At 59.6% G+C, this 26,658-nt stretch overlaps 1 protein-coding gene across 2 annotated transcripts in view, besides 2 other annotated features; it reads left to right on the top strand.

The window, feature by feature from the left end:
* The window catches only part of PRDM16 (PR/SET domain 16), a 369,419-nt gene that overhangs the window by 7,307 nt on the left and 335,454 nt on the right, over window positions 1-26,658 (top strand). The gene's annotated exons all lie outside the window — the stretch shown is intronic.
* Window positions 15,576-15,722: a silencer, noted in NCBI's record as "fragment chr1:3008649-3008795 (GRCh37/hg19 assembly coordinates)". NCBI's record gives its function as "represses an EF-1alpha promoter that drives an FKBP-Casp9 reporter gene in an ReSE screen in HepG2 liver carcinoma cells {active_cell/tissue: HepG2}" and the evidence as "EXISTENCE:reporter gene assay evidence [ECO:0000049][PMID:32094911]".
* Window positions 18,742-19,587: an enhancer, noted in NCBI's record as "H3K4me1 hESC enhancer chr1:3011815-3012660 (GRCh37/hg19 assembly coordinates)". NCBI's record gives its function as "activates a minimal SCP1, AML or CMV promoter by ChIP-STARR-seq in naive H9 embryonic stem cells {active_cell/tissue: H9 hESC(naive)}" and the evidence as "EXISTENCE:reporter gene assay evidence [ECO:0000049][PMID:30033119]".

Here is a 26,658-nt window from a genome sequence, read left to right on the forward strand (position 1 = left end):
GCAGGGACACATGGGCTCAGCCTCTGTCTGCTCTCAGCGTCCCCGGGCAGAAGCACTGGAGCCTGGGGCTTCTCCGAGGGTGTCTGTCTCCTTCCTCGCCCACAGGTAGTGCCAGGGGGCATTAACAGGAAGGAAAGGGCTCAGGAGGCTTAGCTGGAGGCCAGGGGCCAGGGCTGCCTTTGCATGGGTGTGCGAGGAGAGGTTTTCCAGGCTTTACCGGGGCTTCTTAGTTTATTCCCAGAAACCGGCTCGGCTTCCTTGGGCACACTAAGGACTATTCCCTGTCCCTCCTTAGCCTTCCGACTTACCTGGATGGATTTACTTAGGTTTGGTTTTCTCCTCTGACACCAAATGTATATTCTATAAGGAATTTAAACATGGGGTGATGGTGGGTGTTTTTGGGGGGGACACAGGAAACTCCACAGAGCACACATCTCGGGGTATGAAGCCCCTTCTTGCTTCTCAGAGGGGCTGGTCTGCATCTTGGCTGGCTCTCCCCAAACCTCTGGCTCTGGGGCCAGTCCCCATTGAAGTGACCCCCACAGGGCAGGTCTCCAGGCCTGCGGTTTGCTTTCTGTGTGGTGTGCTATGGAGTTGGGAAATCAGTAGCTTTGTCTCCTTTCCCACTTTAGAAGAATAACAAAGCTGAATGTTTGGGGCGAATATGAAGTCCTGGTCCACGGGCCTCCTGGAGGCTGCTGGCGAGGTCTCCCGTGGGCCCGGGCCCTGCCCCCTGACACAAGCTCAGGAGCATCCCACATCAGCCCCAGAAACCCAGGCTCTGTTCACCCCAACTCTGCATCGTGTGTGTGTCCCACTCTCCCAGGGTCCCCAGCCCCACGCTGGCCTGGGCTTGCTGCTGGCCCCCTCCCTCACTGCTGCTGGACTCTCCCCTTTGTGAAACCAGGTAAAGGTGAGGACGCTTTGGAGAATAAAAGTGAGTTTGAACTTGGTTGAAGTGCTGCGATGTGTGCACTCGTGTGAACCTGTTCCTCCAGCAGGGGTGTCTGCACAGAAGGACCTGGAAGGTCCACCAGGGTGTTTAGTAGGTGCTTTTTCCTGGAATTTGGGGTCCTGGAGCCAGGCTGGGGTGCTTTACAATGTCTCCTCCAATCAGCCAGGCAGTCAGATGGGGAGTTTTGTTTTTATCTCCTTGGCCTGTTTGGGAAGCTGATTGGTCAGTCCTCAGCCTCAGCCTTTGTGGGTGTTGTGCAGGGTGGGTGTGCAGGCTGCAGGTGCTCACAGGCCAGGCCCCGTGCGTGGACCACCAGCACTGTATCGTTGCTGTAGGCAGGGCCCGGGCCACATCATAAAGCCAAACCACACTGGGGTCTCCCCTAGCCTGCAGCAGGAGAACCACTTTGACCCCTGCCTTAGAGCTCAGCCCTGAAATAAAACATGAAATGATTGTTAGCTGCTCATTTCAAACTAGGAGGCACAGGTGCCAGAATCTGTTCTGGCCCCTGCCACATGCAGTGGATGCCTCCCCTACTGCCTCCCCACACTCAGCCTCCCTGGGTCTCCTCTGTCCTTGCCTCTGTCCTGGGGTGGAAACAGCTGTTGGCACGTGCCACTTTTTTTCTTATCAGAGGCCTCCTAGTTCTTGCAGGGGGCTGGGGGCTTCTGCAAGTTCCATTCCCATCCGTCCTCTCATCTTCCCCTGTGTCAATCATGGTGTGGTGGGATTCCTGTGTGCCGGGCTCCGAGACCTGCATGTCAGGGGGCAGAGGACCTCTCCAGCTGCAGGATGCATGCTAGGGGCCCACCTGGAGGGAGACAGGGTCCCCGAGCTCTGGGTGGTACAGGCTGCCTCCCGCTGTGGCGAGTCGGGGCTCAGCAGCTCCACACAGACTCTGTGTCCTCACTGGGGAGTGGTCCCTCGCCTGGGGGTCTGGACCATGGTGTCTAAGATGGCAGGAAAGCCAGAATCCAACCAACAGCTCACCCCAACCCCCGCCGCTCTAGACATGAGGCTCAGGGCCTCCTCTCTGCACTGGCGCGGAGGTGCCTGTTCCCAGCCCTGTTTCACATTCGAAAGGCCCAGAAGAGAGGGAGGGAGGCTGCCAGAGAGGAGGGTTATGTAATTTTCTTTGCTGCTGTGAGCCTCTGCCTCTCTCTTTTTAATTCGGTAGTTCAAATGAAATTCGTTTCTCTAGTACCTGTGGCAGGCAGGACACTGCCAACGTTTTAGCGGAGGGAGGAAATGACGGGGTGCATACGTGAGGAACGGGCTCTGAATGTGACTGGGAGCTCTTGCCCGTGACATGGTTGAATCCCTGTATCTGATCCAGACCTGGCAGCCGGTATTACAGCAACTATGGATTTCCATAATAGACTTCACCATGGCTCCCGTAGCTGGGTCTCCCAGGGAAAGGGGAACGCATTGAAAAATGCCCAGACATTTCTCTCTGCCCAATGGGCTGTAACAGCCTCGTCAGAGAGGCTGGTCATATCAGTCCGTAAAACATTTAAACAAAGACCAAAAATGACGCTCACCGGAGGAGCCCAAACGGTGACCGCAGGGTGGCTGCGGTCCTCCCCGGGCAAACAGGAAGTTGGCGTGACTGTCTCCGACGGCTCCGGGCATTAATCCTCATTTTACTCCCTGCTGCCCACCGCCTCCCTGGTGGAGCCGCGTCCCGGAATCTCCGCCGCTGCCCGGGCCTGTTTGGCCTCAGACTGTGCTCCCGAGTGAAGGCCGTGATGGGGAGGAGAGGTCTCGGCTATGTCAGCATCTCTCCGCAGTGGTGGCCTGAGAGCCCCTTCCAGCCTCACATCAGAGGGGCTACTGTCATCCCTGTCCCACGCGCTGCCTGGCTGGCCCAGCCCCTGTGTGTGCACAGGGCTCCTTCATGCTGCCCTGCTGGCCCAGCCCCTGTGTGTGCACAGGGATCCTGCGGTTGCAGGGCTGTCAGGGGGACTGTCCCAAGGTCCCTGGGTCCCTTTCGGAGGGAAGCCTGTAATGCAGAGAGTGTCTATTGACTTGGTGAAAATACTGCTGCCTTAGGCAGCAGCAAGCCGCATGGAGCGGCCTGGCCCCAGGGACGTGCCACAGGAGCTGGCTTGCTGGGAGATTTCTGGCCTTCCTTGCAAATCACCCGCAGGCTCTTATTCCTGGAAAACCCGATGCGTTTCTGAACTACTTGAAAACCAGAGGGTGTTTTCTTGGCCAGAGCTGAGACTGCTCCAGGGAGAAGTGGCCCCTCACATACCCCTTCATCTGGCTGGCATGTTGAGATTGTCTCCAGGGAGTGTGAGGACGTGTGTGTGCTCTGTGTCTGTGTACAACACACACACCTGCAGGCAAGCGTGCTTCTGAGGTTGGCCTGAGAGGGCCCGCCAAGCTACTCTGTTTTTGTTGATCAGCAACATCGCACACTTCCCTGCCCTCTTGTGCCTTGAAAGAGCCACTTGCCTTGGCTGCACCTCGGTCCTTAGCCCTCCGTGGCGCCAGAGTTGGTTGCCTCAGTAGCGCGTGCCCACCCGGCCCAAAGCTGTTCTGCAGCTGGTCACTGTGGGAGAAGAGACTGGAAAAGTTCAAAGGTGGAGAGGCGGCAGCGATCTGGAGCACTTTTCCGCACGCTGTAACCCCTGAGAAGAAACAAAGAGGAAACGAGGCTGTTTAGATAATCCCGGGCCCTGGTGCTTGCATTTAGAAAAATTAGGCCCTCTTGAAAAATTACAGAATTATGCTGCCAGTGTCAGGTTCCCAGATAATGATGTGTCTGTGTGTGAAAATATTAAATTGCAATAACACGCCGTGCGAGTGCCTCTCTGAATGGGGTATTCAGTTCCCAGCCCAGGCTGAGCGTACAGCGAGTGACTGACAGAATACAAATGGTGCCACGAAGCACCGGGGATTTACGGCCGACCCGCGCTTTCCGATCGGTTTCTCTACCCCGGCCCATCCAGCCATCCTTTTCTTTAATGAAACAGCCCGACAATGTGGCTAATTATTTATTTATCACATTGGCAGGAGGAAAAGCTATCAGAGACAGATCGATTTTTCCCTGGAAGTGATTTGGCATGACTTTAAAAATAAGATCTACTAAGATATGCTGGGTGGTGTCCTCTGAAACCCCAAATTTTGTTTCATCAACTCGGCTGACAATCCATTTTGCAAAAACGGGAGGCCCGGGCCCCTAAGCTTGCAGCCTGAGAAAAAGCAAACTTGAGCAAAGCCAGCTTGCTCTCCCCCTCGGACCGGGCAACTGCTCCTGGATTTCTGTTCCGAGGAACATGTTGGGCGGTTTCTTCCGGGCCGGGGAAATCTGAGCAGCCACAGGCGAATCTGGGACGATGGCAGATTGTTAATATCTCAGAGCCCCAGAGACTCGGCGTCTCCGACCCTGAGCCCACATGAGTAGCAGAACCCCGGCCCGAGCACCCAACGCTTCCCGGAGAGCTTGTGTGCCTGAGAGTGTGTGTGTGTAGAGGGGGTGGCGGGGCGGGGGGGGTCTGCACATTCCGCCGAGTGTCCTCATGAACAAAAGGCCTAAAAAAAAGCAGAGAGTAAGGGAGCTCAGAGAATCGGGGGGCAGATAGCGTAGCCACGAGGGGCTCTCTGGTTTCATGGCTGGGAATCTGAACCGCAGGGCAGAGGCCCCGGAGTCTTAACTTTCCCTCCGTCGAAGGTGTTAGTCTTACCTTCCCGAGGTTAGATAAAGCCGCTAAAAGCTGCTGTTTGTTATTGAATCTCATCTGCTAATTACGGCGGCGGGACTTGGGTTCGAGGCCCCTCGCGGCTGTACCCCGAGTCCCCCGTGCTGGCACCTGATAAGGGGTCATTCTGTGCTCTTTCCAGAGGGTTTTAGGTTGCGTCCGCTCCTGACAGGTGACCCTTGTTCAAAGGGAACGAGGGGCTGGTGGCCACGGTGGGCGTGAGAGGCCCATTCCTGCAGCCTGGCCCGGCCGGCCCCTGGAGAGCCCCCTCCTTGTCCCACCAGACCGAGCTGTGGCCGTGTGAGGAGCAGGGCTGAGGTGGGGAGAACGCCGACTTGCATTTTCTGACAGTCCCCAGCTCTCTCTGCAGAGTATAGGCTACTGCTTGGCATCACCTACAGGGATGGCGGCGGCCAGGGTTGGTCTTCCTTCTGTGAGCACGGGGGGTGAGCAGTGGGCAGCTCCAGGAAGCCTTGCTGTGGACTGGGCAGGACAGCTGGACCTCCTGGCCACACAGCCGCTTCCCACCCCTGGGTGTCGGTCACTAGAGAGTGGGTAGAGCCTGGCCACAGGGCACGTGGGAGGCCCCCATGGAAGGCCCGTGTTGGGGGACCTTCCATGGGCAGCAGGGCAGCAAGGGAGACCACCTCCTTGCTGCCCTGACTAAACACCAGCTTTGCAAAAGCAAGACCCTGCCATCCCTAGCTCCCCTCACAGACCCAGAGGCAGAGGCCTTCAGGGCCAGCAGTCAGGATGGGCAGATGAAGCCACAGTGTGCCAAGGCAGCGGCAAAGCCCCCGTGAGCACCAACCCAAGCCTTGCACCCCTGACATGTGGAGGCTTCTGAAATTCCCTTGACGCCTCAAATCGAACACCGCCAGCCTCCAGCCTCAGAGGTGGCACCTGGCTTTCACTTCCCAAATGAACTGAAGCTCCACCATGTTAGATGACCTTGGACCAAACCACGGGAACTTGATGGGCAGGAGGCTGGCCCGGGGGCCCTGGTGTGACCAGGAAGGTGGGAGGCCCCCGCGGCCAGGCCCTCTGCAGTCAGGTCCTGTGCAGTCAGGCCCTGTGTGGTCTTCCTTGAGGGGAAGTTTTCTGTTCCTTGGGTTCTGCAGGAGCAGGCAGGAGGCCCTGTGGGTCCAGGAGGGCGCCTCGGGGTCTGCCTGGCCAATGTCAGAGGGGTAACGGCCCATCTGCAACTGGACTCAGCTGTGGCCACAGGATGGGGACAGGAGAGTGGCCACACGTAGGAAACCCAGGGTGAGGGACCTCAGCCTGCAGGGTCTGGGGACCATTCCCAAGGAGCCCCTGAGCTGGGCTGAATGGTGTTCAGAGATGGGGTTCCGGGGAAACCTCCCTCACCCCAGTCAGAGCTGAGGCTGGGGGTGCAGCTCCGAGGGTCACTCCTGGACTCCCTTGCTGGCATCCATGCCTCGGCTGGGTCAGGACAGAGCCGGGGTTGGGGGCCAATGCCCAGCAACCCCCTCCCCCAGGATCTGGAGCTGGACCTGGGGGGCTGGAGGCACCCTGTTGCCGCAGCAAGGAGAGGTGGGGTGCGCTTCATCTCAGCTGCCCCAGGGCTGAGCTCAGCTTTGCCCGCTTTGTGCGGAGTCCACCGAGGGGGCCTGGGGGACAGGCGAGATTGGAAAGCGATGGGGCCGGCGCCTGGGTGCTGCGTGGGAGCAAGTGCCTGTGGCCCCTGGGTCTGTGGCCGCTGCCTTCGCTTTCCCCTCATCTAGGACAGGATGCTCGGCCCTCCTGACACTTCTGGGACAGATGAAACACAGAGGAAGAGGTGGGGGCGCTGGAGATCGAGCCCCCCTGCTGGGACAGTGCACCCGGAACGCTCGCCTGTGGCTCTGATTATTGCTATTATTGTCCTTAGGATCCAGGCAGTCAGGAGCTATTTTGGGGTTTCTGGAACTTTCACTGGCCAAAGACAGGCTTGTGTGTGTGAGAGCAGAGCCGGGCAGGCTCCTCTGGATGCGGCCTCCAGATTAAACGTCTCGTCCGAGACCACTGGATGAGCGCAGTGGCAATGGCTAGGAGACGCAGGGGTCGGGTCTCCTGGCTGCGCCCCACCAAGCAGCAACCTGGCGGCTGGGCCCCGGAACTGCACATCCCTCCCCATCATAGCCCTGTCCTGGACTGGGCGGCGCGCTCATTTCAAGGCAGTGCGGCCATCTGGGCTGGGCCTGGCGCTGGCGGGGCCTGCTGTGTGCCGGGCGGGCAGATCGTCCTGGGGCTGACCTGGAAGCTGTGCTGCGTTTATGGCCCAGGGAGACACCTTTCTAGGGTTGGGGGTTTCACCCACAGCCTGGGCTTCTTCATCATTTCTGTGAAGAGGCGAACCAAGGAATGTCACCAGCCTGCTGCGGAGGGATGCCCTGCAGGTCAGGACACACAGCGCCTGCTGTCAGGGGAGGCGGGTGTCAGCTTCATGCTGGGTGGGGAGGGTGGGTGCCGGAGCTGGATCCTGCCCTCGGGGGTTTCCTGTTAGTTTTGTTCCAGGGGGTTGGGGGTGTTGTTTATCAGAGGGGCAGTTTCCACAGCTGAGAGGGGAAGAGCTGTTCCTCCTCACCCCACCATTATCCACCTGACCTTCCGACTGCTGGGATTGTGTCTGTGTTGTCATTGAGGGGACACCCTTTGGACTTGCCCAGGGAACTGCAGGAGAGAGGGGCTTCACCGTAATCAGCACATGGTGCCCACACACGCATGGAACACGTGGTTGACACAAATGTGACTCCATGAGCTGGACTGGCTTTACCGTGGAGACTTATGCAGAGATCAGATCAGGAGACCCTGTTCGCGAGAGAAGAGAACAGGACCCTTGTTCGGAGAGATGTCCCTGGGTCTTGGCAGACCCACACGCTTGTGGAGGGAGCGAGAGGAGAGGTGGCTGGGGACGACCGAATCCCAGCGCTGCTGTGGGCTCCCTGGAGGAGAAAGGGCCTTGGTGTCTGCTGGGCCAGAATGCAGGCCTTTCACTCCTCTCCTTGCCTGGGACTGCGGTCCTGGCGGGCCCTGGGGCGTCTGGGGGCCTGTACCCCTCGGGTGGGGCAGGTTGGGCTGGAGCCCCCTGGATCTGGTGTCAGGCAGACCCAGAGGCAGGGCACAGGGGCCGCCTCTGGCCCTTTCAAAGGGACATTCGATCTGAAGCATGGGGCCCAGTAAGAAGATTCCAGGGAACACAGTGCTGATGGGGCCGAAAGCGCTCGGCGGCCGGAGAGAGCCTCTCCACAGTCTGTGCTCTGGCACGAGGCCCTTTGTGGGATTATCTGCCCCCCTGGGAGGCACGGAATGCTGGGGGCGAGGGGCCACAGCAATATTGAGCTTGCATGGGCCCCCGATAAAGCGGCTGCTTGCTGCAGTTGCTCTGTCGCCGAAATTCGAGGTGCAGCCCCAGAATGGAGGCCGCTGTCCCTGGACACTTGAGCCAGGGAGGCACCGTCCATTCTGCACTTGTCCTTGAGAATTTGAGTCGAGGCCACATCTGCCAGCGCTTATATCTAGGGCTCCCACCCGCTTCAAAAAACACAGTGGGGCAGAAAAACGTCCAGAGAGGCCCAGGCAGCATCTTCCCTTCCAGCCTCACTGTTCTCGGGCGTCCCCCTTGGATCACAAACGCTGAGCCCTGCAGGCTGTCGGGGGGCAGGCCAGGGAAGTGATTCTTTGGGCCAGTAGCTCTCGGGTGCACACCTGGGGCTGGAGTTGCACAGCCTGTAGGTCCAGGGTGGCTGCCAGGTGGAGAGGAGCTCAGCCGCGCACCCTGCGGCAGGTGTTGCAGGCGGGCGGGTGCTGGGGGTTTGTTTCCAGCAGCTGGGATGGTTTCTGCCCAGCATCCAGCCCCTTTTCCTGCACCCCTTGGTCCCCAGCCGCACCTCTCTGTGTCAATGGACAGCCTAGGCAGCAGAATAGTTACTTCTCACTGCCCCAGGCTGGTGCCCAGGACCTACTCCGACCTAGAACGTTCGTGCAGGTGGAATCTGGACACCACCATGTGCAGAGGCAGTGCAGCCTTGGGAAGACCCGCCTGGCCAAGGCCTCTGAAGCCTGGGTGGGTGCTGGGAGGGTCTCAGAGTTTCCTAGAGCCACGGCTATGGTGGCCTTCGCTTGCTGGGCTGGGATCATCCCACAGCCAAGAACCAAGGTGCGGCTAGATACCCAGCAGGACCTGGGGGACTACAGGGGCTCCGAGTCCCCTCACTGAACAAGCTGCCAACTGCTGGGACCTGACCCTGGGCAGCAGGGCCCCCCAGGGCTCCCCATTCTGGCAGCATCTGCTCTCTTGGTCTGGCTGGTAGTGGACAAGGGAAGGCTTTGGCTCAGGCCAACTTGGACTGAATCCTGGCACCCACTGTTCAAAAGCTGAGTGACCCCGGCTCCTCCTGGGCCTCTCTGAGCCCAGTGTGCCCATCTGCTGAGTGGGGTAATCCATCCTCGTGGGGCTGTGGTGTCATCAAGAACGGGTGGTCCCTTTAGGACGCCCAGCATCCTGCCCATGTGTGTGTCCTCCTGGAGGCCATGGAAGGGCTGCACTCAGGGTGGCCATGCCAGGTCTCTTTCTGCCGCCTGGGTTGACCTTCTGGGCCACAGGTCGGGTGGGCAGCAGGTGGCCCTCAGCCAGGACTGCCTCCTACCAGGCCTACAGGGCCCCAGATGGGCACAGCTGTGGGAGCCCCACCCAGGCCTTGTCTCCCCAGAGCTGCTTGGCGTCCAGCAGGGCGCCCAGCCCTGAGAGTTGGTGCCCCACTCACGTGGGTTCACGTTGACAGAGGGGAGGGACAGGGGCTGCACCTGACCCCATGCCCTGGTCTGGGCCATAGGCTGGGCACCTTCCTTTGGCCTAAGTCAGTCTCAGAATGCGTACACAGCTGCAGGCACACAGACCTCTGATGAAGGTCACCATGGCCTGAGGCGGCTGGATGCTGGTCTCCTGCAAGGTCTCTGTCTACACACTCCAGGTCCCCTCCTCTCAGGGCAGGACAGATGGGGAACCTGAGGTTGCTCAGGGTGAGCTCGTGAGTGCGTGAGGCCTTAAAAACCATAAGGTGCTTGCCTGGCTGTGACAGCCAGGGCGGCTGAGCCTGGCTCTGCCCTGGGCGCACCTGCTGCGACCCCCAGGCTCAGAGTCCTCTCGGCCTGCAGTTTCTGTTGCAGGCCAAGGTTCCCTGCCCCCGTCAAGTGATGCAGGGATGGGCTCTGAGTTTCTTGGTCAGGAAAGCTGCCACGGGGCTGCTACCCACATGCCCACCCTCAGAGCCTGTGCTGGAAAACGCCCGAGGTGTCGGTGCAGTGTCCTCCCTTTGCTTCTGGCCTCCTCCCTCCGCTACTGGCCTCCTCCCTCCACTTCTGGCCTCCTCCCGCCGGGCTGCCTTGTCATCTGGATGCTTCCTGGTCCTGTCTGGAAGCACAAGGGCTGGGAAGGGAGGCTGGGGCTCCCTTCCCCCAGCTGCAGCAGCCAGACCCAGGCCCGGCCACTGACGCCCTCCACCGGAGAGTTTTTGGGTGGAGATTTTCCCAAGTTACTCCGCTGCTTCCTTTCGGAGCTAACGAGTGGTTCTTGGCGTCGTCTGCCGGGGCTTGCTGTCTTCATTTCTTTATTTTTTTTGTGGAGCATGCCGTTAATTAGGCAAAAGATCTGCAGAAATGCGCTCGCGCCTGGAGATTTCAGTGAAAAATGAGAAGTCTCCTGAAATTTCCAGTAGTGAAGCAATTAAGCGATGGAATTCCGCAATCTAAACATGGTATCACTCACCTCCAATGAAAGTTAGAAAAAGAAAAGAAGGAGTGAAAAGGAAAAAAAGGAAACAGAAAGCCTGAAGTCCAAGTGAGGGAAGTTCTCAGGCCAACAGCGACATGCTCGTAGTTCATATGGAAACGCTGCACGTGCTGCCGGCACTGTCTTCTTGGGAGCACCTGTTCCTTTGGAGGTGAAGGGTTAACGTGAGGATTCTTTCAGAAGAGGCAGCCTCACCACGTGCTGGTCAGCCCCACCCGAGACCAGCCCCACCCGAGACCAGCCCCACCCGAGACCAGCCCCACCCGAGACCAGCCCCACCGGAGACCAGCCCCACCTGAGACCAGCCCCACCTGAGGCCAGCCCCACCTGAGACCAGCCAGGGCCTCTCACCTTCACATCCCTCTACAGCAGCAAGAGGCCCCGTAATCTTAGCACCCAGTGCACCACAGAGCACGGGCTGAGGAACGCGAGAGCAGGTGGACAGGAGTCCTGGACGTCCCACTCTGGATCGGCCGGCAGGAAGTTGTTCCTGCCTTGGGGTCAGGTTAGGTTAGGGTCCTTCCTTGTCTGTGGCGGGCTACTCAGCCCCAAAAGAGGAAATTCACATTTTTCTGTGTCTGTTGGGGGGAGTTTTTAGATCATAGGAGGAGATTGAAACCAACTTTGATTTCCCTATCCGCAGATGCATTCTTAGTCAAAAATGCCCAACGCACCCTGTTTCCTTGGACGTGACCAAGGAATGCCATGTCCAGATGATCAATCCAGGGATGGCCGGTGGCCCTCGCGATGGCTGGAATCACTCTTTTCAAAAATCACGTCTTGGTTGTGTCTGCCAGTACCATATTGTTTCCATTTTTACTCTTCTTTTTTTCACCACCTTGAGATGCCTTTGGACAACAAGTCTCTGGTTATTGACAAATCAATTTTCCAGGGAGGGAGGCACGTTTCTGTTTGTGCTCTGGGGTCTGGCCTCCTGTTTGTGGTTGAGCAAAGATTACACTACATTTCTCAGTGAGCTGTTTCCCTCCGTCCCCCGAGACACCCCTGCTCTTTGGCCTTGGTGCCGCCTTCTTCTTGCCCTCCTCATTTCACTGCTGTTTCTCTCACCTTCTAAAGTCAGCCAGCAGCCTGGTGGAGATTTATGAGGCCTAAACTTCCAACAGGATTGTCTATTTTCTACATTCTCCCTGTGCTGCTCCTTCGCCTGACCTCCACCGCTGCTGCCGGTGCAGCTTGCACACACAGGAGTTTTGTTTGGCTGAGAAATCTCCTCACCGAGGACGTAGGCAGGACTCTGGAGTTGCAGTTGCATTCAATCAGGGAGCTGGGGACCGGAGTCACTGGGCACAGTCTAGAAAGCAATAAAAATAATAATAATAATAAAAATCCTCAAACCGCCTTTCCCTTCTGTTGCATTCAATCAGGGAGCTGGGGCTCAAGTCACTGAGAACAATCCAGAAACCAGTAACAACCCCCCCAGCAGGCTTTCCCCCGAATACTCTTGGGAGATGCAGGGATTCTTTTATTATTTATTTATTTATTTATTTATTTATTTATTTTGAGATGGAGTCTCGCTCTGTCACTCAGGCTGGAGTGCGGTGGCGCGATCTCAGCTCACTGCAAGCTCCGCCTCCTGGGTTCAAGCCATTCTCCCGCCTCAGCCTCCCGAGTAGCTGGGACTACAAGCACCTGCCACCACGCCTGGCTAATTTTTTGTATTTTTTAGTAGAGACAGGGTTTCACCGTGTTAGCCAGGATGGTCTCTATCTCCTGATCTCAGCCTCTCAGAGTGTTGGGATTACAGGCGTGAGTCACGGCGCCCGGCCATATTATTATTATTATATTATTTATTATTATTTATTATTTATTTATTTATTTTTTGGAGATGGGGTCTCACTCTGTCGCCCAGGCTGGAGTGCAATGGCGCAATCTCACTGCAACCTCTGCCTCCCGGGTTCAAGCGATTCTTCTGCCTCAGCCTCCTGAGTAGCTGGGGTTACAGGCACATGCCACCGCGCCCAGCTAATTTTTGTATTTTTAGTAGAGATGGGGTTTCACCATGTTGGCCAGGCTGGTCTTGAACTTCTGACCTCAGGTAATCCACCCACCTTGGCCTCCCAAAGTGCTGGGATTACAGGCGTGAGCCACCGCGCCAGTCCGAGATGCAGGGATTCTAATAGCTGCCTGGTACCTGGCCCCTTGTCGCCCCACCTGTCCTCAGCGGTGAGGGTGTTTTGCAGGCCTGGGCCCCTCCGACTCGACGTCTGAATGGAGATGGTGTCTGCACCAGCCCTGGCCCCTGCCTGGAGAAGGGGTGTGGACCCCGAAACTCCTTGCACCCAGCTCCCGCACAATAGGGACTGCTGGTAGCCCAGGCTGAGCCTCGTTTCTAAGAGACGTTGGGACCCCTGGGACCCACCCCCCACCGGGGCTGTGACCCCATGCAACACAGCACCATAGCTGCCTCCACCTGGCTGCACCCTCCATGGTTTGGGAACTCGGAGCTGAGGGAGGCTGTGAGAGCTGGTTAGCAGGAGGCGGAAGCGGGTGGAAACTTCTCAGAGCACAGTAGCCTGTCAGCCTTCCCACGTGGGGAAAATAAACCCCCGCCAAGCATCTCCAGGCCAGAAAACCAATATTGTTTATTTGGGCCTTTCTACAATAGTGTTTCTAATTTAAACAGAAATGCCCCTGCCGGTGAGGGGCTCCCCGTGTGACTCGCTCTGGGGCAGCAGCCACTGCCGAGGAAGCGCAGGGAGCCTCTGGTCTGGCATTGTCGAATTTCCCTGGTCATTACGTCTCCTCCGGGCCGAGCCTGATCCAGGACTTGCATCCCGAGGCCGGGTCTCCCACCCGCACCAGGGATGTTCCATTTGATTTAATGAAAATAGGAACACCAAGCTGGTGACTTGCTCCAACTTCCTCCGGCCGACCGACACCAGCTGCAGAGAAAGCTGCTCAGAACCACTGTGACCCAGCGTCTAAAATCCACTCATTCATTCATTCATCCATTCATTCCTGCCACAGTTCCATGACTTTTTACGGGTGGTCCCTACTCTGTATCTCCCAAATTTCTAAGAAGCTCTGTTCCAGCCTCGTACTTGTTCACAGCTTCACCGGACAAATAAGATATAACCCCCGCAAAGTAAACTGCCATACAAAGGCAAACAAACCCCCCAGCCAGGATGGCCCTGTGTGCTCATTCGTGACATGGGGACTGGAGAAGAGAATGCCAGCAAGCTTCTTGATGCCCAGATGCACCCCGAACGCCACCACGGGGCTGGTCCCCCACAGGACATGCAGCGTCCAGACCTGGCCTGGGACTGCCCAGCAGACGGGGCTTGACACTGAGGGCTGTGACTGCCGCTTTCCCGAAGCGCTTCCATCCACTTCCAAGGGAGTCCAGCTGGGAGACTCAGGCACTGGAGCTGGTCTCGTGAGAAGCGCCACATGGCCCTGAGGCTGGGTGGGGATTGGTGGCCGCCGTTCGGCAGGCCTGGTGGAACTCCTCTGAGCCTGCGCACACAGGCCGGGCGACTGGCTCCCCTGAGACCACCCATGAAACGTGGACATTCCTCAGGCAGCCAGTGGCTGTTTTCACCCAAATGGAAGCAAAGACTGGGCTCCCTGTGCTCTCTCCAGGTGTGGGTCCCTGCTAAGAGGCAGATTGGGTGCCCACGCCCGAGGGCTTCTCACCTGACTCTGTCCCTGGGCAGACTCGGCCACACAGCCTGGCTACTCCCCAGTCTGACACCAACAGGTCACGTCAGAACCCCAAAGCCTCTGACTTTGAACTTGGCTGCACCACGGCCTGACCCCAGATTGAAAGGGGCCAGGTCTTTGCCTGGGCATTGGCCCCTGAAGCCCATGCCAGGCATCTGATTTAGGTTCCCAGGAGCAGCAGCTGACACTCCTGCAGGGTGGGGAGGCAGGACCCTCAGGCTCCGAGCCGAAAGCAGAATCTCCAGGACCTGCTTCAGAGGCACACAGGCCTGGATGTCCTTGTGTGTGATCTATGGGGAGCCACGAACGAGAAGCAGACAGCCCCCAGGGCTCCAGGGTCTGGCTCAGGAAAGTCACGTTTCTCCCCGCAAGTCTGCCCGGAGACCTCAGCCGCAAACTCTCCCTAACCCCGAGCTCTAGCTCTGGACGGGGCTTCTTCTCTAAATGCCAAGGCGCCATGAAGAGACACAAATGGAAAGACAGGAATGACCGCTAACAGGGAGACCAAATCCTGTCCCAAGGAGCCACCGACCAATAGCAGCTTAAACCACACAGAGCGCTTCCATCAGACGTGACCTGGCCAAGCCAGACAGGCTCTCTGAAACCCAGGGTATGCGGATGGGGAAACTGAGGCCTAGGGAGAGGCTGGTTTGGAGTGGAGGTCACCTGGGACGTTACCAGCACTGGACTTGACTTAAGCGGGTGCAGCCAGGCCCGCACCGAGACGACAGCATCTCTTTCATCTTCCAAGGCCCATCTTCCTGGCAAGGCCCAGGTTGGCAACGCTCAGCTTTTCAGCAGGACTCAGATCCAGGGGGAGTTCGTGAGAAGGGCAGGGGTTGGGCCGAATCCACTCCTCGTGCCGGCTCCTCTCCACGCCTGCCCCGTGCCACACTTCTCCGTGCACCCCTCATTCCCTTGGGAGAGTCTGAGGGAGGCTGGGGTCCTTGCTGCGGAGGGCACCTCTGCCCAGGCACCTCTGCTGGGCAGGGCTGCAGCTGCCTTCACTGAGCACCCATCCTTCCAGCAGCTGTGCTGTGCTCCTTCCATGATCACCCCACAGCCCTGCGGGGAGGGGATGGAGCTGTCCCTCCATAGATATATGGGTCGTGAGCTCGGGGTGTAGCCAGCTGCTCCAAGTGTACTCAGGCTGATGGAGGGGCCCCCACTTGCCCCGACTCTGTGAACCTGGAGAGAAAGGGCCTGTCCCCAGAGGGCCTCCCTCTAACGGGGGTGATGGACAGTTCGCAGGTGGTCAGATGCGAGAGAATTCACATCGCAGAACCTGCCAGGAAAATCAATGGGACCGTGAGGACTGCTAGGTTTGGGAGGCCCGCGTTAGCCCCAGGACGGCTTCATGGGGAGGGGACGCAGGTCCCCATGTAGAGGATAAGATGGAGCCAGCCGTGGGTAAGGGTGGACCACGCAGGATCGCAGGATGCTCCCTGGGCCCCCATGTCACGGCACTGCTGCATGCTTGGTGTTACCTGCTTGTAGACATGGACACCAGGCTCAGAGAGCACCACGACTGTGCCTGGGGCCCCAGGTGGTGGGTGACGTGGTATGGCTCTGCAGCAGGGCCCAACCCCAGGGGCTCAGAGAGGCAGTCCTGCAGGGAGGTGCCAGGCACGAGGGCTGCTCTTCGTGAGTCCCGAGGCAGAGGCTACTGTGTGCTCCTGAGGGTATCAGCCCCCAGGGGCAAAGGCACCCGGTCCTGCCCCACTGCTCATCCTTAAAGCCTTTTCCTCACACGTGCCCATACCCTGCAGGCACCGAGTGCCACCAGCACTTGGGTCCATGAATGGAGCAGGTCTCAGGATCGGGGCATTGTGACCATGGACATGCTGGGAGCTGTCTTTTTATTTCCGTGGCAAAATGTACTGTTTAGTTAGAAAACATCCAGCACTCACCATTTCTGGTCAGCGAGTGGGAAATGAGTGGGAGGCACACACTGCATCCCCCTCAGGCTGGCCAGGCATCCTCAGGGCTCTGTGGAGGGGTCTGCACAACTTCGTGCTGGATGGCGCCTGGGTGCGGGGAGCCTCCTTCCTCTGGCTGGGCACCCCCGGTCTGGGCTCTGAGCCACAAGCTGGGGGCTGATGCACTTTGGGGTCTCCCGGCAGCTCTAGGGTGGCAACCTGGGCTGGGATTGGGGTCAGGGGCTGTCTCAGGGAGGACATGAAGTCTCAAGGCAACATCTTAAACCCAGGGGCAAAGGGGAAGATTTGCAGCTGTGGCCCCTTTCCACGACTTTGACATAGACAGAAGTGAGAGGCAGTCAGGGCTGCTACCTCGGGCCCCTGGGTCCCCTCAGGCCCAGTGCTTCCTGCTGCAGGGACCGAGGTGGCGTCCCACCTCTGTAATCACTGTCCAACTCCTGTAAAGCCAGGAACATGGGGCCAGCCCTGGCTGACCGCCCTCAATAGTAACTTCCCTGAGCTGACCGCTTCTCCTGACCTGGCTGAGAAGTGAGAAGTGGTGAGAAGAGGAATTCTCACCCCTTCATACTGTTTTCCTCACCCAAATCTCTTGAAGGGCCCAGGCTGGCTGATGTCAGGAGAGCCCAGGCTACCCCTATTTCAGAGGTAAAGCCCAGGCTAGCCCGATGTCAGAGCAGAGCCCAGGCTAGCTCCATGCTGGGGCCTGAGCCTGGGTACTGTCCAACGTTGCGATGTTTGGTAGCACCGGGGCAGTCTGCCCTCCACATTTCTGTACAGCCAGGGTGCAACATGGTCAGACTGGGGTGCAGCTGGGACTCGGTCAGAAACCATCTGCCCATGAAGAGTCCTCTTCCAGAATTGATTGACTGTTTCTCCAGACTTTGGGGGCCCTGGAATCAAGTGGGGAATGAGAGCCCAAATGCCACAGGTTGTGTGCTCTCTGCCTCTGGGCGCCCTGGGACCCCCGGCATCTCCACTGTGTGTCTGGTCGTGAAGGCTGAGGTCGCAGTGCCTGTGGGCCCCTTAGATTGTGGGGTTCACATGAGTTCTCGGAGGCTGCATGCTGTGGTCGTGGTGAGAAGGAGGGGCAGACCCTAGGAAAGGGGTGAAAGCCGGGCAGGGAGGGACCCCTGCAGCGGAGAGTGGACAGCATGAGGCTAGCCTGCAGGAGCTCAGGGCAAACGCCCACTCCCACCTGGCTGTGGCTGAGCAATGCCCAATGTAGCCCAGCTCCGAAGCGCAGGGAAGGAGGGGGAACGTGCGGGGGTCTGTGGGGCCAGGCCTGTGCACCCCATCCCACTCGGGCGGAGAGCAGGCGAGACAAGGAAGGAGTTCCTGACAAATTTCCCTGAGCCCCGAGAATTTTTTAGAAGTTGCCATGAGTGTGTGGGCTTCTGCGATTCTGTGGTCAGGCTGCTGTGTTTCAGGAAGTGCCGAGCAGAAGTGGTGGCACCAGCCAGCAACGTGGTCTGGGGAAAGTGGTGGCTGCAGCCAGTGTGGTCTGTGGCTGCTGGTGACCCAGAAACAAACACCTGAGTGTGCAGGGCAAGAGGCGGGCGGGGCACGCAGGGCAGAGCTGGGGAGGAAAAGGGGAACTCTCGCCGCCCAGGCCTGGAGCCGCGGAGGAGACAGGTGGCTGGTGGCACGGGGGCGCACAGGCAGCAGGCACCCGCCATCCCCACCCTGCCTCCACAGCTCCCAGGTGGCTCCTAAGCACCCCTTGGGCAGCCACGGAATTGTCAGAGCGGAACGACTTGGAAGTAAATTCGAGTTAAGTGCAGCCACATCACCCTGCAGAGACGTGGGCTCCCAAGGTCAATGCTGGCCCGTGGCCCCAGCCCGTCTCAGGCCTGCTCATGCCGGACTGGCAGCTGTTAGCTTGGCATCAGGATCCGGTCATTCAGAGGGCAGTTTGGGCACAGGAGTGCAGACATGGCTGCCCTTCTAAGCCCCCAGCAGGTTCAGAGCCAGGGCCGGGACGCTATAAAGCTTGGCCGTCACTTCCACTGGGCCCTGGAGAGCTGTGATGAGGAGGTGACTTTCATGCTGATGACCAGGAATATGTTTTGCTTATTGGTGTGAACAGACTCCTTTCACAGAACACGCAGACATTCTGTGAGCACCGGCCCAGCAAGCAGTGTCAGTGGCTGCGCCGTTCCTGCTTAAATGAGCAAGGCCTTCGGGTGCTTCCCGGCCTCCCTGGACTCCCTGCAGCCAGGGAGGTGGGGCCTTGTCCCTGCTGCGGTTGCCGAGGGACTCTGGGTGGGAAGGAGGGGGTCTGCATGAGTGCCAGGTGTGTCTTCCTTCCTGGTCTTTTCCGACGTGGATGGAGCCACACAGCCCGGAACCCCGGTGCTCGTGACCGAGACCTTCTCACAGCTGCATGGGGGAATTGCCCGTGCTGGGCGAGATGAAGCCAGCAGGAGGGGACGGCTCTGTTGCCCTGGCCTACTCCCCGGTTGGGGAGATGATGAGCCAGGCTTGTCCTGACGGGGCACTGGCCCAGGCGAGCAGCCAGGGGTCTCCCAGGGCCCTGCCCACCTGCCTGTGATGAGAAGGCCCCTCTCCAGCTCAGTGCGTGAAAAGCCAGGCTGGAGCTCCACCTCCCCAACCGCCAGTCCAAACCATGCTGGCACTTGGTGACCAGGCCTCAGCCAGCAGCCCTGCAGCTGGGTTGAGGTGGCCCAGGGCTGTCCAGGGAGGTAGCCGAGAAGAGGGCTGCGGAGAAAGTGGAGTAGCAAACAACTCGGTGTGTCTCCAGGGGTGCTGGGTGCCGCTGGGGTGCCAGATGTCATGGGCTCAGACCTACCCTCATGGGTCAGATGGACAGTGGTATCCCCCTCCTGGGGTGGGGGGCACTCCTAAGGCAGAAAACCCATAGGACCTGGAGCACAGCCCTGTGCGGCTGTGTCCCGGGGCAGCCCAAGCACTGCGTGGTGCCTCATGGGGGGCCGGGCTCAGCTGCTGGTCCTCCCTAGTGCCCCCTGGACTCAGCTTCCACATCCACAGGATTGACAGGACGGTCTCCTCCTTCAGATGCCCTAGGGACCCCTGTGCTGCCCTGAGACACAGCCACCCCAAGACGCAGCCTCACAGTGTGTGCCGTGGGCAGCCTCTGGCCTCGGCCAGGAGGGTAGGATTTGAGGGGGGCAGGGGTCAGTGTGGGAGATGACTCTGTGGAGTTGGGGGTGATGTATGGGGGTCCATCTGCCCCTTGGAATGCCCTGGGGGCTGCTTGGGGTGCCCCAGGGGAGCCTCATATCACAGCTCACTGTGCGGGTCCTCATGCTCAGAGGGTGGCCTTTGCCTGCAGCATGGACTCGAGGTCCGCTCAGCATCTGACAGGGGTCTGGGGCCAGTGGAACGTCACACTCCCTCCCTCCCTGTCTCTCCTCCTCCAAACGGCTCAGTGGGCCCTGGCTGGGACACCCCACTTTCCTGCAAAGCCCTCGGGACCTGCCCCCTAACAGTCCTGGCTGCCTGTCACCCCTGGGGCCCTGGTGCCTGTCTATTTGGGGTGCAGGGTACGCACCCCATGCTTAGAATGTTCTGGACCCCAGGAAGGCCCCGGTGCTTTGAACCCCCATGTGGGCAGGAACCTCGGCTTTCCTGCTCCTCTTCCTCCTTATCTGCCTTCTTTCCTGCCTCTCCCTGAGTTCTCAAACCTCCCTGCTCATGGCAGTTCCCCACAAGGCAGCCTCCTCGCTGTCCTGTCCTCTCTAGCCCCAGAACCCCGCGGGCCCCTTCCTCACGTCTCCTGCCCGCAGGACCCCCAGGAGGCTCTGTGCACCATCCCTTGTCCACGCTCTCCCCTGGCCAAGTCGGAGCCATAGGGGAAGGAATGAGGTCATGGGAGGGGAGGCGACTGGGCCTGAATGCAGAGGGAGAGGGTCTGTGTTTCGAATCCACACCTTGTGGCTGATGCTGGAAACCACTGGCAAAGCCTGAGCTTCCCCTCTGCACCTGCCTCTTCCTCTTTTGCCGGCTGGGGCACATTCCCTCCCTCAGTGCCTTGCCGCCTGTGTGTTGAAAGGTCGTGAGGGAGGGACGCCAGGGACTCCCTCTCCTGCCCCTGGACCAGCGAGGAAGACGGCCCCGTCCCAGGGCTGCTGAGCCCTCCAAGGCTTCCGGAGCAGGGGTGGATGGTGAGTGGGCCCTCTCCCTACGAGAGCCGAGCAGGGTGGGTGTGCTGTGGCCCTCATCTTCCTCAGTTTTCCCAGTGCCTGTCTTTCCTTGTGCCAAGGACGGGAGTCTGGGCGGCTTCTGCCCACCACCAGGTGAGACAGCTCCGTGGTTTCTAGGAAGAAGCCACCCGTGGAACCATGTAGGTGATTTCGTGCCCATTTAAAACTACGCCGAGGCTGCTCTCTGTGCCCCTTCTCTCCCAGGCTTTCCAGTAGAGTCTCGGCTCCCTCTGGGAGCCACCTGCTGCAGCCATGGGTGCATCGGGTGCGTGTGCTCCTGGGGGACCCTTTTGCTGGGGCTGGGGTCAGACAGCGCTTCACCCAGGCCGGGATTCTAGGGAGAGCGGTGCCGAGAAGTTGCCCTCGTAGCCAAGGTCATGGGCAAGGTTAAGGGCAGAGCTGAGGAGCCTCTCTCTGTACCCACAGCTGGAAGGGGTTCAGCTGTGTACAAAAGTTTTGGTCTCTGACGGGTCATCTGTTGTCCGTGTGACCTGCCTCGGACAAATTTCCCAATTCCTCTGAGTACAGAAAGGACGTGACGGTGTCTGCCTGGCAGGGCTGCCGAGGGCTGCATCTCCAAAGGACCTGGTGGTGCCCAGCACACTCTGGGCTTCCAGTGAGCAGAGTCATTGTGCATAACAACAGTGGCCAGGCTGCCGCCCCGTGCCCTGACCTGGCGTCTCCCCGCAGGTGAATGGTGGTAGGTGCTGGTCAGGGTCCCCTCATTCCATACAGGCCAGAAGCCAGCACCAGCCAACATCACACGGTGATGAACTTAAAAATGAATTCTTCTCCACTCGCACCTCCAAAAGCTCAGCCTCCAGTGACCCCTCCTGGCCCTGCCCTCTCATCTCCAGCCTGGAGATTCCCGCCCCACAGCCCCTCTGGGGGTCTTGGCCTCAGCAGCTGTTCTTCCTACCATGGAGGGAGGCAGAGACAGGGGCAGCCACAGGGTCTCCCCGAGGCCTGGGAAGGTTCCTCAGGAAGCCAGGTGTGAGGGGGCGGGAGGCAGCGCCTTCTGTTTGGCCTCGTGTAGAGAGATCCCAGGGGGGCCCAAGCATGCAGGGATGGGAGGCAGGTGCAGCAGACGCCCCTCGAGCTGGAGGAGGCACAGGGTGCAGGAAAGACCCAGGAGGCAGAATTCTGCCATGCCTGCTGTCCCCACCCGTCCCCTCTTCTTGTCCTGTCCCTGTGACCTCAGGCACAGTCCCTGTCTGCAACAGGGCAGGTGTCCAATGGTGCTCCTCCAGCAGGACTGGAAACTGCCCCCGCCCCTCTCCCTCCTTTGCCCGCCCTTGTGCGGCTCCTTCCCAGTCTGTAAAGGGCACTGAGGCCTCCTGTCAGTGTGCTGGGGGCTGAGCCTTCACTGAGCCGTGTGGAATCCTCTGCAGGTGAGAAGCTCCCAGTCAAGGGCCCTGAGAGTCCCTCCAGGCTCATGGGGCTGGATCCAGTTCCCCACCCTGGGTCTGGAAAATCCTTCTCCCGGGCTGCACCCTGCACCAGCCTCAGCCCAGTGGGTTTTCTTGGGGCCGGCTCCCTGCTCCCTGCTCCTGGGTGTCAACTCTTGGGCGAGGTCACCCTCACTGCCCACTGGGGGGTTGCGGAGTGGCGAGCTGGCAAGGGGCTTAATGGTCAGAAAGACCAGCTGTGTCTGGCCCAGGGTCCCACTTGTCTCCCCCACTCACCGCTCCACCCAGGTGCTTCCCCCAGACTCCCATCCAGCTGGGGAGAGGGACATCCCTGCAGCCAGAGAGGTTCCCCCATGGGTGAAGGTCCGACCCAGAGCCTGGCCTCCCTGGGCTTCGAGACCCCAGGCAAAGCCACAGAAAGGAAGTGCCCCAGGGAGCGTGGCCACTGCACTGGACCCCCGCCTTCTAAAATGCCTCAGTTTCTCTGGGGGATAAAACTGCTTCTCCTGAGGTCTACACGGGGGTGCTGTTAGTTCAAAGGAACAAGGGGGTTTTCAGTCTTCTGGACAGGCCCGGGGGCTTCCCTCTGATGCCCTTGCTGCTCCAGCCCTGCAGAGCTGGCTGCCTCCTTGGGCTCCTGGGCGCTGCATACCCACTGTCCTTAGCTGCCTGCTGCATGGTCCTGCAGGCGAGGCTGTGTCCCAGCCATGGTGCTGCCTCCACCTCCCCACCAAGGACCCGGCAAATGCTGCTTCTCAGTGCCCGTTGAGTGGCTGAGCGGCCTCACTGAGGAGGGCGAGAAAAGGAGCTGGTCCATCCCTGGCTGAGTAGGAGGGTTGGGCCACCCACTCCATCAAGCCCCATCGAGGGGACCCAGAGCGGTGGGGGCCGTGTGGGAGCGCTGAGAAGCAAGCTCCTCTGGGAATCCAGGTCGCCTGCAATGAGGGTTCTCAAATGGGCTTCCTGGGGGCTCCACACATGGCCCCTGGGGTGCTGGACCCAGGTTGAGGGCAGCTCGGTCAGCCCTTCAGCTGTGGACTGCCCGTCTGACCAACCCAGTTCTAGCCTTGGCTCCGCCACCTCCCACTGAGGGACCCCGAATGAGTCCTCAAACTGCCTAGAACTCCTATTCCTGTAACATACAGACAGTGACGACCACCTGGCAGGGCTGCCAAGGGGCCGGGAGAGATGTGTGCCCGCTATGTGGCTTCAGCTACACCAATAACCAGCCTCACGGAGGCCCCGGAGCCCCGGATGCTCAGCACGGGGTCCCCAACACCATTGGTAAATGACTAGCTGAGCATTAAACAAGGCCGGTGGGGGGCAAGGGTCCTGGCATCCTGCGGGCGGCTCCTGGGGACTGGCTGGTGCTGGGCTGTGAATGTTTTGGGGTGCTCAGAAATATTCCAGGCACATCACAGAGAGAGGTGCTCCCTGATCCCAGGCCTGCCAGCACGTGCCGAGTGCAGTGGGTCACAGAGACAAGCATGAGCTCATTAGGAACTTGGGGAGCAGGCTCACCGCTGTAGGCTGGGGCCACCCACCAGGCCGCCATGGCAGGTATGTTGGAAGATGAGCATCAGAGACCGTTTAAGAGAAAACACTCCCAGCGTCCCTTATATGGGAGGAAATGCAGGTGCTGAAGAGTGAACCGTCGTGGGAGTGGGTGAGATGGCGCCCCCTCCTTCTCCACCTCCTTCCAGTGCAGCTACAGAGGACCTGAAGGCTCTCATGGACAAAGATGGGCCAGAAATCGGGGGTCGGTGGCAAGCAAGGGCTGCCCCCAGGAGGCACCTATGAGATGGAGGCCACTGGGCTCGGCACCCCTGGGTGAGGGAGCCGTAGAGGAGCCTGCTCCTCTAAGCCCTGTCCTCTGAGGGGCGTGGAGAGGCCCGGCACTGCCCTGTGGGTCTCTGACAGGTGGCCGTCCCCTGGCATCTGTGGGAAGGAAGGGCCCTGCCCTCCCCTGAGGCCTTTGGTCTTCCTCCCTGGCTGGAGAGGTGGGGACCAGAGTAGAGCTTGCCCCCTGCCCGCTCTGTGACGTGGCCCCAGTGCCCACTCTCTGGGAAGGAGGTAGATGGATGCCTGTAGCAGCAACGCCACATCACAGACCCGTTCGCTCTTCATAAAACGCAGAGTGACTTTCGGCTGCTTTAGCTCCTGTCTTTAGGTCCTCTACTGGGTCCTCTCTTCCAGTGGGTGGCTGAGCCGCTTCCCCATCCTTGGCCGTGGGTGGTGGCCTGGGACATGGATGGGTCTTTAGGACATGATGGCTGGGGTGTGGGGCAGGTGAGCTGCTCTCTATGGAGCCCCTGCAGAACCTCCACGCCCTGCCCTCAGTGGACGGGGCCTCTGCTGGGGCCTCCTGAGGCATCCCACAGGCCTGGAGAAGCGAGCTCCAGGCACGGCCCATGGTCCTCCCAAGCACCCCCAGTTCCCGAGGGGCATTTGACGCTGCCGCCTGGAGCCCCCCATGTAACCCGTTTGCCCAGGGAGGAGCTTTCCCCGAGTGAGGTTCCCGTGAGGAAGATAGATACACCCACACACGCCCTATAGGGCTGGTGGGTCCTGTGGGGTGGAATGTGGGGCAGGAGGACCTGGGCTGACTCAGCACAGCTGGATCCAGCTGTGGGGCCATGAGAGTGGAAGGTGAGAGATAAATGTGGCCTGGAAAGGGAGGTGCCACAAGTACCCACGACGGCTGTGCCGAAGCCCCCGGGGAGGAGCTTGTTCAAGGTGACGGGTGGCACTTGGTCATGTGGGTGCTGGCTGACATTCTGCCCGGGAGGCCTGGAGGAGGGGGCATTGGAGGGGGTGGGTGTCCGGCTGAGGACAGGGGCTGCTCCCTAATGGGGGATGCCCTCGGCGGGAGTGGATGCTGCTGGGCCCCAGGTATGTCCCCATCTCGCCCGGCTGGCACACCAGGATGCCGTGGGAAGCCTCCTCGCTGTGCCCCTTCGGTCTGGGGAACAGAGACTGTGCCACGATGAGCTCAGCTCTCCTCCTGCTCCTCCTCCCTCTGGCCCCAGCGGACGAGCAAACACTCTTCCCGAGAGATAGTGGCTCCCATCCAACGCACCTCAGCTAATCACCAGCCATCGTGGGAAAAGCCTGAGATGAGGGCCGCGAGGCAGTGCATTGTCTAGGGGAGATTAAAGCCCCAGGGCCGTATTGTCTGGCCAGGGGATAAATCTTCGCGCTGTCACTCAGGCACTGAATTAAATTCCCCCTCGTTTTCTAAAGGGGCTTATCTGTCCTGAATGGGCAGCCGCACCACCAGCGTGAGCGGACGTCCCAGCACCTTTGGGACAGGCTGGGGGAGCGGCGGCCATCGGGGAAGGGGACACGGGGCCTGGAGAGGCCACAGAATCCTGGCACAGGAGGGCAGGCTTGGCCTGAGCTCTGTCTGTCTGCTTCCTTGACACTGTGCAAGGAGGAGCCAGGGCACCCGTGGGGGTCTCTGCTCCGGGCCAGGCAGAGCCGGAAGCCACCAAGTGAGGGAACAGAACTTGGCAAGGTCAGAGGACCAGCCAGGGGTGGGGAAAAATGGCATATGTCCTCAGGGCAGCTTGAGGCTGAGAAGGAATGCCGGCCCAGCTCAGCAGGAGTGATCTGGAGCTTTCTATGTATGGTGACATCCGTGTTAGGGCAAGACTGGGAAGACCACCCGTTCTTGTCTCCCCCACCCGGAGACCCCCAGTCCCAGCTGGAGCTAGTGCTAGAGTCCTGGGCTGGGGCACAGTCTTTGCTGTCTGGGGGCCAGCCGAAAAGCACAGCCCCTCCAAGGAAGGAGAGTTCACACGGGTGGTTTTTCAACATTCTCAGCAACAGGACTCCTTTCTAACCCCAACCTTGTGTGGGGTCCTGATTTACAAAACCAAGGAAGGCAGAGTTGGGGAGGATGCCCCGGCCACAGCTAAGTCTCAGGCTGAACAGCCTCATTCAATGCTCCCAGGAGCCCCATTTCGCAGTGGAGAACCCAGAGCTCAGAGAGGGTGGGCAGTGAGTCCAGCCGCACAGGGAGCCAGGTAGAGGTGGCGCCACCACCCAGGCCTCCCCAGCGGGGCTGGGAGGGGACTCAGGGGAGGGAGGACCTGCCAGCACCTGGCTACCTCCTAGCTGTCCCCTCTGGTTTCCCTGGGGCTTCTTGGCTCAGGCCAGACTCCTACAGCAGTCTTCCAGGATGGAGTCCTGGAATAAAAGCTGTCATGGGAAGCCACCTCTGGGGTCCTCATGGGCTGGGGCCCACTGGTGGGATCTTAGCTGAGAGTTTCAGCTATGAATCCTCAAAACCGCATCCCCATCCCTGAGCTGCAGGTGGGCCCCCTCTGGCATCCCGGCCTAGACAGGACGGCTGGATCTGAAGTGTCCTGCATTTCCATCTCTGGGCATTTGGGGAAGTGCTCATGGGGTTTTCTGCACTGTGCATGGAGTTTGCCCTCGGAGACAGGCTTTAATATGCTTTTATGGCCCTTTCTGGCTTTGCAGTTATCTCCAGCTGCTCCTCTGAAGGACCAAAACCATTGCCTGAACAAGGAGACCTGTACCTGTTACCAGATTCTCAGTGAGCAAAACAGCCTGCCCACTGGGGCCCCTGCGGAAGGGACTCTGGAAGGGCTGGGACCATCTGCTTCCTACCCCATATGTGGCTGCTCTCCTTCCTGCTCCAGAGCAGATGCTCAGGTGGGAGGTGGCCCTGCTGCTCTGGAGGTCAGAGTAGCCCAACCTCAGGGTCACCTGACAGCCCCGGTGATGTGAGTCTGAATGTATCATTTCCTTCAAATCTTCCTCTCCCTAAAACTAGAAGATGTGATCCTGTGTGCACAGAGGCGTTCACAGGAACTCAGGTTCCTCCCAGTCTGGGGTGCAAATACGTTCAATGGGTCCTCCTCTACTACTGCTGGACCTGGGGCCACCGCAGCAGCAAAGTCAGGAGAGATGGGCAGCTCCATCTCCGACCACCACGCCTGTCCTGGTGAGCTGGGGCG

This window comes from Homo sapiens, chromosome 1, assembly GCF_000001405.40.
Source record: "Homo sapiens chromosome 1, GRCh38.p14 Primary Assembly".
Taxonomy (NCBI): Eukaryota; Metazoa; Chordata; class Mammalia; order Primates; family Hominidae; genus Homo; species Homo sapiens.